This window comes from Homo sapiens, chromosome 7, assembly GCF_000001405.40.
Source record: "Homo sapiens chromosome 7, GRCh38.p14 Primary Assembly".
NCBI classification, from domain to species: domain Eukaryota; kingdom Metazoa; phylum Chordata; class Mammalia; order Primates; family Hominidae; genus Homo; species Homo sapiens.
The window spans coordinates 27,287,242-27,305,552 of record NC_000007.14 but is presented as its reverse complement, the minus strand read 5'-3'; the positions used below and the strand labels follow the sequence as shown (position 1 = coordinate 27,305,552).

The 18,311-nt window shown below is 41.1% G+C and overlaps 1 annotated feature.

Moving 5' to 3' along the window:
* Positions 10,025 to 10,254: a silencer, noted in NCBI's record as "fragment chr7:27334918-27335147 (GRCh37/hg19 assembly coordinates)". NCBI's record gives its function as "represses an EF-1alpha promoter that drives an FKBP-Casp9 reporter gene in an ReSE screen in phorbol 12-myristate 13-acetate-treated (for megakaryocytic differentiation) K562 erythroleukemia cells {active_cell/tissue: K562(+PMA)}" and the evidence as "EXISTENCE:reporter gene assay evidence [ECO:0000049][PMID:32094911]".

Genomic DNA, 18,311 nt, shown 5'->3' with positions numbered 1-18,311 from the left:
CAACATGAAGGCCATCAACACAACTCCTTCTAAAAGAGAATGGCCTTGAAGATGAGTGGCAGATGACAGTTTACAAAGCCCTTCTTCACACATAAAGTACTTGTTTCATGTTCAACAGAGAGATGAGAGTCAGTCTCCTCACTCCAAGGTTGTTGATGTCAACTACTTCTGGCTGCTTTTATTCCCATTCACTGGGTATTTAAGTACCTACTGTGTATAAGAAGCCCGGAAGAAAACAGAGATGAATAAGACAATACAACCTCAGGCTTAAACTAACGATGAACCTGAAGCATGGAGGAGAGAGAGTAGAGGAGGAAATGGTTCTGCTGCTTGGGGGGTGGGGGCCTGAGAAGATTTCCCTTTGGAGCCCTTGTTCAGAGGCAATGGAAGAGTTGCCCAAATAAAGTTGGCAGGAGGGAAGTGTATGTGTCCAAGGAGGGAAGGTGAAAATGGAAGAACATTCTAAGAAGTGGAACTGGAAGCAAAGGCACACACCAAAACCACATGATACAGTCAGGACCAAGAAACCCAGGACAACTGGACATGGGCAGACTGGGAACGTGGTGGGAGAGAAAGTTTAACAGATCAGCCTGTGAATGCCATGCTAACAAGTTTCTACAACTCAAAAGAAGAACAGATTTAAAGAAGCCCTTTCTGGCTCCCTAAGACTTGTTTTGTTTTGTTTAAGTTTTTAAAATTTCTTTTCTTTCTTTCTTTTTTTTTTTTGTTTGAGATGGGGGCCTCACTGTGTTGCCCATGCTGGTCTTGAACTCTGGGCTCAAGCAGTCCTCCAGCCTCGGCCTCACAAAGTGCTGGAATTATAGGTGTGAACCACCATGCCTGGCCTAAAATTTCTTTTCAAACTGATAAATAATAATTTTTATATTTATGAGGTACAATGTGATATTATGATACATGTATACACTGTAGAATGACTAAATCAGGCTAATTAACATACTTATCACCTCACATACTTACCCTTTCTTTGTAGTGAGAACATTTAAAATCTACTCTTTATCAATTTTGAAATACACGATATATTATTATTTTTATTTTGTTGGTTTGCTTTTGTGACAGGGTCTCACTCTGTTACCCAAGCTGGAGTGCAGTGGCACAATTACAACTCACTACAGCCTCAACCTCCCAAGCTCAAGCAATCCTCCACCCTCAGCCTCCCAAGTAGCTGGGACCACTGGCTCATGTCCAGCTAATTTTTAAAATTTTTTGTAGAGACAGGATCTCACTATGTCGCCCAGGCTGGTCTCAAACTCCTGGACTCAGGCAATCCTCCCACCTCAACCTCTCAAGTAGCTGGGGCTACAGACACATGACACCACAGCCAGTTGATTTTTTACTTTTATTTTATGTAGAGACAGGGTATTCCTATGTCTCCCAGGCTGCTCTTGATCTCCTAGGCTCAAGTGATCTTCTTGCCTTGGCCTCCAAAAGTGCCAGGATTATAGGTGAGAGCCACTGTGTCCAGTCACAATACATTATTATTATCAACTATAGTCACCATGCTGTGCAATAGATCACTAGAACTCATTTCTCCTGTCTAACTGGCACTTTGTACCCTTTGACTAACCTCTCCCGTTTCCACATCCTCCCCATGCTCAGCCTCTGGTAACCACCATCCGCCTCTCTACTTCTGAGTTTGACTTTTTTAGACTCCACATGTAAGTGAGATTACATAGTATTTGTCTTTCTGCTCCTGGCTTATGTTACTTAGCATAATGTCCTCTAAATACATCCATGTCATAAGTAAAACATGTTTTTAAGGGTTTTCTTCCTTTCTTTCTTCTCCATTTTTTCAAGAAGTTGGCTTTCTAAAATTCTCAGAGACCAAAACATTTCTCAGAGGCCAGCAACTGCATAGATAATCTCACTTTAAGAAATAAATAAGGCTGGGCGCAGTGGCTTATGCCTGTAATCCCAGTACTTTGGGAGGCCGAGGCAGGTGGATCTCTTGAGGTCAAGAGTTCAAGACCAGCCTGGCCAATATGGTGAAACCCCGTCTCTACTAAAAATACAAAAATTAGCTGGGTGTGGTGGTGTGTGCCTGTAATCCCAGCTACTCACGAGGCTGAGGCAGGAGAATTGCTTGAACCCAGGAGGCAGAGGTTGCAGTGAGCCAAGATCACACCACTGCACTCCAGCCTGGACAACAGAGTGAGACTCTGTCTCAAAAAAAAAAAAAGATACTTTCAAAGAGCAAAAGCAAAAAGAATGAAAGGAAGGGCAGACATTTGTCTGACTTCTCCTTAACGCCCTCAGCCTGGTTTCATGCGGCATGGGCAAGCAGCCAGAATCCTTGTTCATGTTTAGACTTGTGTTCAGCAGAGATGCAGGCTGCCCTGTTTCTTCCTTACCAGGAGTATCACTCCCCATGGTGCCCTCCCTAGCTCAGAAAAATAGCTCCGGCACTGAAGATGCAGGCTCAAAGCCGAAGAGAGCTCTCCACCGGGGAGCCAGGGATCCTGGAATCCACCCAAGGGCTGGCTCCACTCCACATCTCACTGAAGGTTATAGCCTGATGGGCACTGAAGACCCCCGGTACAAGGAGGAGTTTCCTTCCCTGAGTGACCCATATCAGTCTCAGCTGAGTCCAGGCTTTAAACTAAGTATGTTCTGCCTGGGTTAGGGCTTCCAGGAGCACTCTGAAAGATATCAAATTATACCCATATCAAATTGTATCTGCATAAGCACTTGCTCTTCTTCAGAGCTCCTCCACATCTAGTACCTTTCATGATCCCAACGACAACCCTGGTGGCTGGCAGAGGTGTTACCATTCTAACTTGGAAAATGAGGCCCAGGTTATAGAATCTACCCAAAGTCACACAGCAGAATTCAAACCCAGCACGTCTCATTTTAAAAGCATTGCCATTTTAACATTGCTTTAAAGCAATAATCAGCAAACCATGACCTGGGCATGAGCCAAATCCAGCTCACTACCTGATTTTGCAAGTAAAGCTTTATCTGAGTATGGCCATGCCCATTCACTCTCGAATTGTCCATGGCTGCCTTCACAGTGCAGAATTGAGTAGTTCCAACAGAGACCATATGGTCCACAAAACCTGAACTATTTTCTTTTTGTTGTTGTTGTTGTTGAGAAACAGAGTTTTGCTCTTATCGCCCAGACTGGAGTGCAATGGTGTAATCTCGGCTCACTACAATCTCTGCCCCCTGGGTTCAAGCGATTCTCCAGCCTCAGCCTCCTGAGTAGCTAGTATTATAGGAGTATGCCACCAGGCCTGGCTAATTTTTGTATTTTTAGTAGAAATGGGGTTTCACCATGTTGGCCAGGCTGGTCTCAAACTCCTGACCTCTGGTGGTCCACCCACCTCAGCCTCCTAAACTGCTGGTATTACAGGCATGAGCCACTGTGCCCGGCCAACCTGAACTATTTTCTAGCTAGTTCTTTTCAGAAAAAATTTACTAACCACTGTTCTGAAGTATTATTTTACTACTTTAAAAAATTGAAATAATCTGGTATACACATATTAACAGGACTGACCACATATTGGCCACAAGGATGTTGTCTCTTGAAGAAAGGAAAAGTACCACTTACTAGCTGTGTGGCCTTGAGAATACTTAACTTTTCTAAGCTTCATTTTCCTCATTTGTAAAAGGGACATAATAATAGTATCTACTTCTCTTAGTCTGCTCGGGCTGCTGTAACAAAATACCACAGACTGGGTGGCTTAAACAACAGAAATCGATTTATCACAGTTTTGGAGACTGGGAAATGCAAGATTAAGGTGATGGCCAATTCAGGTTCTGGAGAGGAACCTCTTCCTGGCTTGTAGATGGCCAACTCATATGGTAGGGGTTGGAGAAGGTGTTCTCTGGTGTCTCTTCTTATAAGGACACTAATTCTATTAAATTATTGTCCCACCCTTATGATGTCATTTAACCTTAGTCACCTCTTAAAGGCCCTTTCTCCAAATACAGTCACACTGGAGGTTAGGGCTTCAACATATGAATCTTGGGGCCACAGAATTCAGTTAATAGCACTACTTCACAGGGCTTTTGTAAAGGTTAAATAAAGTAATGAATATAAAAAGATTAGCATAGACTCTGGCATTTAGTAAGAACACAATAACAGTAAAAAGTATCGACTCTGACTTGTTAACAAAATACATAGAAAAAGCACAGTGCTTAAAGTCAGAGGACTTGTTTGATCTTGAGCAAGTCACTCAACCACTCTCACTTCAGTTTCCTAATCCACAAAGTGGGATTGCACAAAACCTGAAGAATAGTGCCTTAACATATGAAATGTATTTTTTTAATTTATTTGGTGTGTTGGCTTCTATTCAATTGCTTGTCATTTCATGATTACAAGATGGCTGCAGCACCTCAAGCCATTTCATCTACATTCCACACAAGAAGATAGAAGTAAAGGCAAGGCACAGGCCAGCTGGATTTGTCTGTTTTTACCAGAAAAACAAAAGTTTTCCCAGAAACTGTGTCCAACAGACTTCCACTTATGTTATGGTCATAACAGTGTCACATGGCTACTCTAACTGGAAAATAACTATGGAGAAGGGGTTTCTGTCAGTGTTTGCCATAAAATAGGTTTTCTAAAGAAAAATCAGTATTCACATACCCATATTATTGTGGTTGCACTAGAGATGACAAGGAAGCCTTATTGTAGGGTCACCAAGGATGGTCACCTTCATCATATGTGGTCACTGGTAACCTCTACTAAGAGCAATCTGATCTACAAAAAGTATCAAGAACTGACTTGAGAAAGAGAGAAAAGGGACACTTAGCCAAATCTGAAAAGAAAAAAAAAAAAACCACTACAGCACATGCAATAGTAGACAGAGAGGCTGGCTTCCTCTGTTTAGGTAACGAGGATGTCTCCATCCTGTCCGCCTTCCTCCTAGCAGGCCTTATTTTCACAGAGAAAATTTGGGCAGTCTCAAGGGAAACATGACTCACCCCCGGTTCATATCACTCCTAACCAAGCCACAGTGAGAAGTCCCAAGCCCTGATCTGGTGCCTTGTCCTCCTCCAAAGGCTAAAAGGCTTTTTCATGAGTCAGGCAGGTGACTAGATCTCAGCCAGAAAATCTCATTCCCACAAAGGAAGGATCAAGGTCACAGAAGGCAGAATAAGCATTATGTAAAGCACGGAATCTAGGCAGAGTGGGGAGTCTTCATGCCATGGGGAGAGAAAATGTCTAAATAATGCTGCAGACATTCCAAAAATCTTCAGCTCCTGAGGGGTAGAGAAGAGGTGGCCAACTCAATGTTTTTCATGAGTCTTGTCATGAAGGATCAGTGGCTTCTTTTTTATCTACAAGCGAAAGCAAACCAATGACCGAGCCATGTTTATTCCGGGAGGTTTCATGCAAATATTTTAAAATTCAGCTTTTGTCAAGCTGGTTTAACTAGGAAAGCTTAGTTGGAAGAATATGCTAATAAGTCATTAAAGTGCACTCATATCATGCCATATGGTACACTTGAAACATAAAACACTGGGTTCTATTCTTTGGTCAGGGCCACTGATAAAAGAGAGCCCTGGGGAAAAGATTGTTGCCCTGTCAACCCACACTTTATATGCTAACTCTGATTCTAGGGGCTTGTTTGTTCTGAGGAGGCTTGGCAGATATCTGTAAATGGCACTCCATTTGAGAAAAGGATTGCAGATAATGTGTTCATCTAAAACCCAAGCTGGCAGAAATATGCTTGCATGAATTCAGTTTCTGGGGTGGCTTTTGTTTTGCTAATTATTCGTAAGCTTTTTGATAATTATACTCTAAGCTCCATATCTATTATTTCTGGTCTTTAAAATACAATCATTTAAAAATGAAATATACTTCAGAGGGGTACATATGACAGGTAAACAGATTATACATTGATAGTATGCGTTAGTGGATGTCTTTAATATGCAAGTCAGGCCTAGGGAGATGTACTGGATTCAGAAACTCAACTTGGCAGTTTGGGTGTTTAATTGCACTGTGGCCTGTGGACTGCATTTGAGGAAATGTGCAGATGCATGCAGAAACCCAATGCTCAATCCCTGGCTGCAGCCTCACTTCCGAACTCATCCCACAACCTGGCAATTCAGAGAGGGGAGATGAACTCAGTCCCCAGAAGTACCACCAAAGTTAAGACAGCTTCTGCTCAGCACTGGGTTATTTAGGAAAATATATATTTAGAAACTTCAGGACAGGGACTCTGCTTTTTACTTTTGCTTGAACCACAGTGTTCACTTCTGGCCCTGAGCACTTGGCACATGATTAATAAGTCAAATAGGTTTGTCACAATGTCTCACCTTGACATCCTATGGGGGAGTTTTTAAAAAAGTTATTTGGAAAGAAGATTCTGTCTTGTAGTCTATGGGAGCAAAAGATGAAAAGAAGAAAGAGAACCACTGCCAAGCACTTTGCCCATGATGGAAAGAGGTTTCCTGAGAAAGTCCACTGGCTGCAGGGCTTCCTGGACTGCACGCCGGCCAAATCCAGGCAGAGGATGGAGGCAGAACAAATTTAAAACAGGATTAAGACTTGGATCTTCTGGATTCCCAGAACGAAGCAGCATACCAATTATTTGTACTAATAAATTACATAAGCCTACCACTGATCAATTAATAAGAAGTATGCCTTCGATTTTTTTACCTCCATGATTACAATTTCTGAGCAATGCCTACATAGTAACTATAGTTATAAGAACTACTATAGGCCGGGCACAGTGGCTTATACCTGCAATCCCAGCACTTTGGGAGGCCGAAGTGGGCGGATCATGAGGTCAGAAGTTTGAGACAAGCCTGGCCAACATAGTGAAACTCCATCTCTACTAACAGTACAAAAAAATTAGCCAAGTGTTGGCCAGGTGTGGTGGCTCACACCTGTAATCCCAGCACTTTGGGAGGTCGACGTGGGCAGATCACGAGGTCAGGATATTGAGACCATCCTGGCTAACATGGTGAAACCCCAAACCCTGTCTCTACTAAAAAAAAAAATTAGCTGGGCATGGTGGCACGCGCCCGTAGTCCCAGCTACTCAGGAGGCTGAGGCAGGAGAATTGCTTGAACCCAGGAGGTGGAGGTTGCAGTGAACCGAGATCACGCCACCGTACTCCAGCTTGGGTGACAGAGACTCCGTCGCAAAAAAAAAAAAAAAAAATAGCCGGGCGTGGTATAAAACCAGCTACTTGGGAGACTAAGGCAAAGAGAATCGCTTGAACCTGGGAGGCAGAGGTTGCAGTGAGCTGAGATCGCGCCACTGCACTCCAGCCCAAGCGACAGTACAAGACTCCATCTCAAAAAAAAAAAAAAAAAAAAAAGAACTACCATAACTGCCTATACAATAATAACTCCACCTCCCTAGATATAGTGTTAAATTAAAAAGCAATTTGTAAAACCATGTCTAATATGGCGCCATTTTATTATGATTACTTTTCATCACATCCAAATTGGTTGGGTTTTGGGTGGGGAGTTCCCAATGACAAATAGACTACATGCTCAAACAAGTTCAAACACAAGAGTTAGCACTAAATGTCAGCTCCTGTGATCCCCTCCCCACACAACTACCAGAGATAACTAGAGGTAACAGTTTAGCAGATTTTCTTCCACACTTTATCTGTCAGGTAGGATTTTTATGGTAAGCATTTCTGAGATGGAGGGTGTGTGTATGTGTGTATGTGTGTGTCTTAATAAGCATGTGATGCTGTTATCTGAAACAACAGTAAGCCTATACAATTTAAGAAGAAAAATTTTTCCATCTTTTCCAAAATTTTCCAAAAATCCAAAAGGTGCAGTACAAAGAAATAAAGCATTTTTAAAGTCACCAAAATTCTCTGTTAACAGTTCTGCATAATTCTGATTCCTCTGTTATCCCCAAGAGTTCAGGTGAGCATTCAAAAATCACCAAAACCTAGAGGTTTCTGCATAACCAGGTACCTGGGACTCCTTTGAATATAATTACAGGAACCAAAATATGACCTGTGGTTTGCACCTTCCTCCTCAGAGAGATGACAGTCCCTGCGGTCACCCTTGTTGCTGCCTTCCTGGATCACTGCAACCGCTGCCTGCTGGAGCCCAGTGGAGTGTCCAGAACATCAATGTGGAGATGGATTCGTCTCCCTGCTCCCAGCTTCCATCCCCATGGACCCTTTCCGTCCTCCCGGCCAGATTAATCTCAGAGGGCGATGGGAGGAGACGGCTGGAGCGCAGGTTTGGAACCAGAGACCTCAGTGTCAACTTCTCAGTGCTCCTCCACTTCCTGGCTACAGAGTTGCTTAAATTAGATAAACTACAAAACGAGAGACAACCAGCCATTTTGTGCCTCCTCATGAAAATATACATCACGACCTCTAAGTATTGTCACCAAAAGATGGACTTGGAATGTGATCGAGCCCTTGTAAACAGCCAGCACTACCAGTTTACAGGAAAACAAAGGGGAGGGAAACACATTGCACTAAAGAAGGGCATGCATCAGCCAACTTCAGAATGTGCAAACACTCAGGACGGATCCTAGTTTCTTCAACAAATAATCTCCAAGGGAAAAAAGGAAACGGAGGAGGAGCTTTTCAATTAAAAGGGACTTAAGAGACATAACAACCACTTTCAATGTATACGCTTTATTTGGATTGTGATTGAAACAAAAGAAATTATTTGTTTTTAATATATGTGACAATCAAGCGAATGTGAACAATGGCTGGATATTTGATGACATAGATATTAAGGAATTATTATTAATTCAGCAACAATAATAGTACTGTGGTTTTTTTTTTTCTAAGACACAGTCTCGGTCTGTCAACCAGGCTGGAGTGCAGTGGCGCAATCTCGGCTCACTGCACCCTCCACCTTCTGGGTTCAAGCGACTCTCCTGCCTCAGGCTCCTGAGTAGCTGGGATTACAGGTACATGCCACCGCACCTGGCTAATTTTTATATTTTTAGTAGAGATGGGGTTTCACTATGTTGGTCAGGCTAGTCTCGAACTCCTGACCTTGTGATCTGCCCGCCTCGCCCTCCCAAACTGCTGGGATCACAAGCGTGAGCCGCTGTGCCCGGCTTCCCACTGTAGTTATTTTTTTTAAGAGTCTTTATCTTTTAAAGACATACATTGAAATATTTGTGGTTGAAGAGATGTGACAACTGGGATTTCCTTCAAAGTAATTACTGGAGGGATGATAAAGGGGATATCAATGAAACAAGATTGGCCATAAGTTGACAATTGCTGAAGCTAAGTGATGGATACATGGAGAGTTTATTATACTATTTTCTCTTTTTTTGTATATGTTTGTAATTTTCCAATTTTCTTAATCTTTTTTATTGTTTTCATCCTGTACTTTCTGGGATTCTGGATTGTATTTTTGTATTTCATGTATCATTTAACATGCTCCTCTGTTCTCTGCTGGCCTGTAACCTATTGGTAGTATTTAGAGACTTGACGCCATAGAAGCTCTATTTTTGGCAAGAATACTTTATGGGTGATTTTTGTACTTTTATCAAGAGGCACATAATAGTCCATAATAAAAACATTTCTTAAAGCTGAAAAATGAAGATGCTTCCTGGAGAGATAATTTTGAGATGAAATTATTTATGTAAGTAAAAGACCAAGCACAGAGCTTGGCACATCATGGGTGCTTTACAGGTGTCAGATTTCTTCCCTCAACCTATTAATAAGCTCTCTAATAATGTCCATGATCTATTGGATCAAGATTTAAGTACACATAGAATTCCAGATCTCCCATGATCTGTTCCTGGTTTACCTTTCTGTCTAGTCTTATTGCCTTCCTCTCTTTAAACACACACACACACACACACACACACACACACACACACACACACACACACACACTGCATTCATTAACCTCATTCCTTAGCTTACACCAGTTCCCCCACTTGAGATGTCCTCCTTGCCTACTCTCTGCCATCCTTCAAGACTCAGGTCAAGCCCCATCTCCTTCAGGAGAATATCGTGATCTTACAAGCCTGGTTATACCTCCCTTAATGCTGCCTTGAATTGTTGTTCAGCACTTACATTAATAAACTTCCCATGAAATGAGCTACTTCTCCAATAGCCCAGGGCAGGGCAGTTCACTGGCCCTGCTTATGTCTTTCATGACAGTCTGCACCATGCACACAGCAGCATGCCACACATGTTTGCCAAATTAAGAGAGGAAATAATTAACCAGGAAATAGCTTCAACTTTAATAGAGGAGGGCAAACTGCCCAGTCACACATAAACAGATGCTCAATTTGGGGAAGAGGAGGAATATACGAAGATGTTTTTATCTCACCTGAAAGAGAAAATACCTGCCAAAATGTCCATTTTTACTTCACTAATCTCATCCTAAATTTCATGTATGAAGAAGTCAGAAATTTCCCAGGCCCTAAAATTAGTGAGTTCAAGATTAGTGGACAAGATTGAATAAAATAAAGTGGCAAACTCAAGTGTCTGAACACACAGTTTGGGTCACCAACTATGACTGGATGGGGAGGGAAAGGGGGATTAAAGTGCATATACGGGTCCATATGAACCAACAGCCCCACAATCATTTCAGAGGACAGCTACCCCTGTTCCAGCAAGATGTGCCTTGAACCTACCTAAATGTTGAAGTCATGAAGAAGTCATGACTGCCTGAGTCATAAGGCGGCAAAGGGACTCTGGAACATTCTATGGTTAAGGAGTCAAAATCCAGCCTCTTCTCTTTTTCTCCCAAGACCCAGAGAGGTCTCCAGGCAGCCAACAGACCCCTGTTGGACAATAATGACCTTGAGATGACCCTGAAGTCTCCATAGCTCTTTGCCATATAATTAGGAGAGGTAGCTCTGGGAGGTTAGAATGTTTGTCTCACCTACAAAGAGACTTAGACTCCCACACAATAATAATGGGAGACTTTAACACCCCACTGTCAACATTAGACAAATCAACGAGACAGAAAGTTAACAAGGATATCCAGGAATTGAACTCAGCTCTGCACCAAGTGGACCTAATAGACATCTACAGAACTCTCCACCCCAAATCAACAGAATATACATTTTTCTCAGCACCACATCACACTCATTCCAAAATTAACCACATAGTTGGAAGTAAAGCAATCCTCAGCAAATGTAAAAGAACAGAAATTATAACAAACTGTCTCTCAGACCACAGTGCAATCAAACTAGAACTCAGGATTAAGAAACTCACTCAAAACCGCTCAACTACATGGAAACTGAACAACCTGCTCCTGAATGACTGCTGGGTACATAACGAAATGAAGGCAGAAATAAAGACGTTCTTTGAAACCAACGAGAACAAAGACACAACATACCAGAATCTCAGGGACACATTTAAAGCAGTGTGTAGAGGGAAATTTACAGCACTAAATGCCCACAAGAGAAAGTAGGAAAGATCTAAAACTGACATCCTAACATCTCAATTAAAAGAACTAGAGAAGCAAGAGCAAACAAATTCAAAAGCTAGCAGAAGGCAAGAAATAACTAAGATCAGAGCAGAACCGAAGGAGATAGAGACACAAAAAAACCCTTCAAAAAATCAATGAATCCAGGAGCTGGCTTTTTGAAAGGATCAACAAAATTGATAGACCACTAGCAAGACTAATAAAGAAGAAAATAGAAAAGAATCAAATAGACGCAATAAAAACTGATAAAGGGGATATCACCACCGATCCCACAGAAATACAAACTACCATCAGAGAGTAGTATAAACACCTCTATGCAAATAAACTAGAAAATCTAGAAGAAATGGATAAATTCCTTGACACATACAACCTCCCAAGACTAAAACAGGAAGAAGTTGAATCCCTGAATAGACCAATAACAGGCTCTGAAATTGAGGCAATAATTAATAGCTTACCAACCAAAAAAAGTCCAGGACCAGACGGATTCACAGCCGAATTCTACCAGAGATACAAAGAGGAGCTGGTACCATTCCTTCTGAAACTATTCCAATCAATAGAAAAGGAGGGAATCCTCCCTAACTCATTTTATGAGGCCAGCATCATCCTGATATCAAAGCCTGGCAGAGACACAACAAAAAAAGAGAATTTTAGACCAATATCCCTGATGAACATCGATGCAAAAATCCTCAATAAAATACTGGCAAACCAAATCCAGTAACACATCAAAAAGCTTATCCACCATGATCAAGTGGGCTTCATCCCTGGGATGCAAGGCTGGTTCAACATACGCAAATCAATAAATGTAATCCAGCATATAAACAGAACCAAAGGCAAAAACCACATGATTATCTCAATAGATGCAGAAAAGGCCTTCGACAAAATTCAACAGCCCTTCATGCTAAAAACTCTCAATAAATTAGGTATTGATGGGACGTATCTAAAAATAGTAAGAGCTATTTATGACAAACCCACAGCCAATATCATACTGAATGGGCAAAAACTGGAAGCATTCCCTTTTAAAACTGGCACAAGACAGGGATGCCCTCTCTCACCACTCCTATTCAACATAGTGTTGGAAGTTCTGGCCAGGGCAACAGGCAGGAGAAAGAAATAAAGGGTATTCAATTAGGAAAAGAGGAAGTCAAATTGTCCCTGTTTGCAGATGACATGATTGTATATTTAGAAAACCCCATCGTCTCAGCCCAACATCTCCTTAAGCTGATAAGCAACTTCAGCAAAGTCTCAGGATACAAAATCAATGTGCAAAAATCACAAGCATTCCTATACACCAATAACAGACAGACAGAGAGCCAAATCATGAGTGAACTCCCATTCACAATTTCTTCAAAGAGAATAAAATAACTAGGAATCCAACTTACAAGGGATGTGAAGGACCTCTTCAAGGAGAACTACAAACCACTGCTCAATGAAATAAAAGAGGACACAAACAAATGGAAGAACGTTCCATGTTTATGGATAGGAAGAATCAATATTGTGAAAATGGCCATACTGCCCAAGGTAATTTATAGATTCAACGCCATCCCCATCAAGCTACCAATGCCTTTCTTCACAGAATTGGAAAAAACTACTTTAAACTTCATATGGAACCAAAAAAGAGCCCGCATTGCCAAGACAATCCTAAGCCAAAAGAACAAAGCTGGAGGCATCATGCTAACTGACTTCAAACTATACTACAAGACTACAGTAACCAAAACAGCATGGTACTGGTACCAAAACAGAGATATAGACAAATGGAACAGAACAGAGCCCTCAGAAATAATACCACACATCTACAACCATCTGATCTTTGACAAACCTGACAAAAACAAAAAATGGGGAAAGGATTTCCTATTTAATAAATGGTGCTGAGAAAACTGGCTAGCCATATGTAGAAAGCTGAAATTGGATCCCTTCCTTACACCTTATACAAAAATTAATTCAAGATGGATTAAAGACTTAAATGTTAGACCTAAAACCATAAAAATCCTGGAAGAAAACCTAGGCAATACCATTAAGGATGTAGGCATGGGCAAGGACTTCATGTCTAAAACACCAAAAGCAATGGCAACAAAAGCCAAAATTGACAAATGGGATCTAATTAAACTCAAGAGCTTCTGCACAGCAAAAGAAACTACCATCAGAGTGAACAGGCAACCTACAGAATGGGAGAAAATTTTTGCAATCTACTCATCTGACAAAGGGCTAATATCCAGAATCTACAATGAACTCAAATAAATTTACAACAAAAAAACAACCCCATCAAAAAGTGGGCAAAGGATATGAACAGACACTTCTCAAAAGAAGACATTTATGCAGCCAACAGACACATGAAAAAATGCTCATCATCACTGGCCATGAAAGAAATGCAAATCAAAACCACAATCAGATACCATCTCACACCAGTTAGAATGGCGATCATTAAAAAGCCAGAAAACAACAGGTGCTGGAGAGGATGTGGAGAAATAGGAACACTTTTACACTGTTGGTGGGACTGTAAACTAGTTCAACCATTGTGGAAGACAGTGTGGTGATTCCTCAAGGATCTAGAACTAGAAATACCATTTGACCCAGCCATCCCATTACTGGGTATATACCCAAAGGATTATAAATCATGCTGCTATAAAGACACATGCACATGTATGTTTATTGCAGCACTATTCACAACAGCAAAGACTTGGAACCAACCCAAATGTCCAACAATGATAGACTGGCTTAAGAAAATGTGGCACATATACACCATGGAATATTATGCAGCCATAAAAAAGGATGAGTTCATGTCCTTTGTAGGGACATGGATGAAGCTGGAAACCATCATTCTGAGCAAACTATCTCAAGGATGGAAAGCCAAACACTGCATGTTCTCACTCATAGGTGGGAATTGAACAATGAGAACACTTGGACACAGGGTGGGAAGCATCACACACTGGGGCCTTTGTGGGGTAGGGGGAGGGGGGAGGGATAGCATTAGGAGATATACCTAATGTAAATGACGAGTTAATGGGTGCAGCACACCAACATGGCAGATGTATACATATGTAACAAACCTGCATGTTGTGTGCATGTACCCTAGAACTTAAAGTAGAATAATAATACTAATAAAAAATCAGACACAAGTTTGTTCCAACCAGAAACAGACTAGTGTTTGCCTGCAGTCCAAAAAAAAAAAAAAAAAAAAAAAGAACGTTTGTCTCAGCAGAGTCACGCAGTCACGCAGCAGAAGCATACTGGGCCCAAAAATGTTTGTCTCACCGGTTGAATTTTAGCTATGATTATTTTTTAGTAATACTAACAATAGAGCATCCTAAGTCTCTTACATGGTATCGTTCCATGGTGCCTGGCATGTAATGTGCATCTATGTCCCAGCTTACCAAAGGCTCAAGGGCAGAATCTGATGAAAGTGTAGCCCTTCCCCTAAGAAAAATATGCATATACATACAAAATGTCACATATCATTTTATATATGTTTCTGAAATGGCATTTAAGCAACTAGTTTACTCCCTCACAGTCCCACCAAATCTGCTTCTTACCATTTAGGAACAGTGAAATACTATTTCTTTACAAAAAAATGAAACCTCCCAAAAGCATATCACATTCCCTCGGAGAACATGTCACATTCCTTGCTTTCATGCTGTAACAATTCTCCAACATTTCAAGAACTATTTGAAACAATGGTCAGGGTCAAGTGGCCTTTGTAAGAACTTTGGGCAATCTTGGATGATTCTTAATAAAGCAGTCATTATTTTTTCATGAGGGCGAAAATCCACACCACTTAATAGAATATGTTGAGTAAAGGCCTAATAGATCACGGGGCTGTGAACGTGAGGCTGAAAATAGAGTGATATTGATTTGGGGGACTGATCTAAGGGAGCAGTTAAGGGACCCTCTATGAGTATATCTTACTCCAGGCTTGACCCCTTTTGCTTCCCTAGTACAGTCCAGAAGAAGTATTTTGGCAGTCACAGTCAGTTATTAATGGAGTGACAAAAAGAGGGCACAATTCGCAAAGTCACTTTCTGCTGTGCCAAATTCTCCATTGTTAAAATGGCTCCTTACTTCCTCAGGCACTAAATTCACAAAAGATTCATCCATTTCCCTGTAGCCATGTTTTTACTGCAGTTCCGAAACAAAATCATCATGATGTTCCCTATTATCTTAACTGCCCATAGTTGATAACTTTCCTAATTAGCACTACACATGTTTAAGTCTCTCTAATTACTTAATGATGGTCACCAGGTAATCCATAATAGCAATTACATATCTGAACTGTCATGGACTATTGGACAAATATGTAATGAGGCATTATAAAAGCATTTAAAATGTAACGCTAATTAGAAAGGTTATCAAATAAGATACCACAATAGGGAACATGTTGGGATTTTTATTGCCAAAAAGAAGGGAAATGGTTCTTATTAGGACTTAGATTCTGTGAATGTAAGAAGAAAATCAAAGGATGTGGAGAATTATCTGCAGCCAGATACATGGATTTAATGCAAGGTTCTTGTTTTATTTACCCATTTATTAGACAAGCAACAATTATGGGTAAATAAAACTGCATTTTTCTGAGTACTAAAAGCTAATACCAAAAAAATAAGGAAGACTATATTGCTTGCTTCTGCCCTTGGGAATCCTGATATCTGGTTGAAGAGACAGGTTGTAGAGAAATAGAATTACTGGAGGCCAACGAACTAATTGCAATTGATATTGTCACCATACAAAACAGTCTGTAGGCTGGGCACGGTGGCTCATGCCTGTAATTCCAGCACTTTGGGAGGCCGAGGTGGGTGGATCACGAGGTCAGGAGTTTGAGACCAGCCTCAGCAACATGATGAAACCCCGTCTCTACTAAAAATACAAAAAAATTGGCCAGGCATAGTGGCACATGCCTGTAATCCCAGCTGCTCAGGAGACTGAGGCACAAGATTTGCTTGAACCCTGGAGGTGGAGGTTGCAGTGAGCTGAGATCACACCATTGCACTCCAGCCTGGGTGACAGAGTGAGACTGTGTCTCAAAAAAAAAAAAAAAAAAAACAGTCTGTAATTCAACTATGTTCAAAGCATGAGAAAAAATGACAAAGACTTCCATATGAGACAAATTTCAAGAAAGTTCTTGAAAGGGTTGGAGAGTAGAAGTAGCTGTGCGTCAACAGAAAGCCAAAGAGAAAGTATCACAGATTGATACAATTGAGAGTTTGCAAGAGAAAAGCTCAAGAAAGGACACTGGGCATGGAATCAGAGAACTTAGGTTCAAATCCCAGCTCTGCTTCTTACTAGTTTTTTATCTTGAACAAGGAAACCCCTCTAACTCTTAGTTTCATATTAGAGAAATGAGGATAATAAAACCAATCTCATGGGTTGGTTGTAAAGATTAACTTAGTGAACACGGGCGAAAGCATCATGTTTAACAACATGTTTGACATAGAAGGCATAATGGATGCTTTTTAGATGAATAACCAAGCTGTTGCCAGAAGTTGAAATAAGTAGTGTTTAAAGACTAGTAAAGCCATATGCTTGTACAAGTAGAGTTGGTTCGTCTGATAGAATTCCTTGAATACAAGGCAGAATCACTTTGGTTTGTTCAGAATCCACCACCAGTTCTTGCATAGGGATGAGGGAAGGTAGCCACGATATTGTCCCGACAGTTATAGGAAGACTGGATGGAGAAAGGATCAGCCAAGGACTGGGAAACTAAAGGGCTCTTTGAGTGTTTAGACATGAGGAGATGCAACTGCAAGCAAATGGAGTTATTAATCAAAAGAGAGAGACAGAGGGAAGCAATCGCAGTTGAAGATTAAGTATGGTAGTAATCTGCATAAAGTTACTACTCAGCACTATCACCCTAGTCCAAGCCACCAACTCCTGTTTTTAAAAATTTTTGTGAGTACATAGTAGGTATATGTATTTATGGAGTACATGAGATATTCTGATACAGGCATGCAATGCATAATCATATCAGAGTAAATGGGATATCCATCACCTCAAGCATTTATCCTTTGTGTTACAAACAAGTCAGTTATACTCTTTCAGTTATTTTTAAATGTACAATTAAATTATTATTGACTGTAGTCACCCTGTTGCCTGCTGTGCTATCAAATACTAGGTCTTATTCATTCTTTTTTTTTTTTTTTTTTTTGAGGCTGAGTCTTGCTCTGTTGCCCAGGCTGGAATGCAGTGGCGCAATCTCTGCTCACTGCAACCTCCGCCTCCCAGGTTCAAGCAATTCTCCTGCCTCAGCCTCCCAAGTAGCTGGGATTACAGGCACATGCCACTGTGCCCTGCTAATTTTTGTATTTTTAGTAGAGACAGGGTTTCATCATGTTGGCCAGGCTGGTCTTGAACTCTTGACCTCAAGTGATCCACCTGCCTCAGCCTCCCAAAGTGCTGGGATTACAGGCATAAGTCACCACCCCTGGCCTTTATTCATTCTTTCTAACTATTTTTTGTACCCATTAACCATCCCTACCTCCCCCAACCCCCACCCCCACTAGCCTTCCCAGCCTGTGGTAATCAGCATTCTGCTCCCTATCACCATGAGTTCAATTGTTTTAATTTTTAGCTCCCATAAGTAAGTGAGAACCATGCAAAGTCTGTCTTTCTGTGCCTGGCTTATTCACTTAACATAATGGCATCCAGTTCCACCCATATTGTTGCAAATGACAGGATCTCATTCTTTTTAGGGTTGAATAGTACTCCATTATATATATGTACCATATTTTCTTTATTCATTCATTGTTAATAGACACTTAAGTTGCTTGCAGATCTCAAGCTACCAACTCCTGCCTTGACCCCATGAGAGCCTCCAGGTTAGTTAGAAATGCTTTCAGCTACAGGTAACAATTTAGGTGATTATTAGTGGCTTAAATAATAAAAGTATTTAAGTGTTTCTAGATCAAGAAGTATGGACAAGATGGCTCCAGTGTTTGTTCAGTGGTTCTGTGCCTGTGTCTCTAACT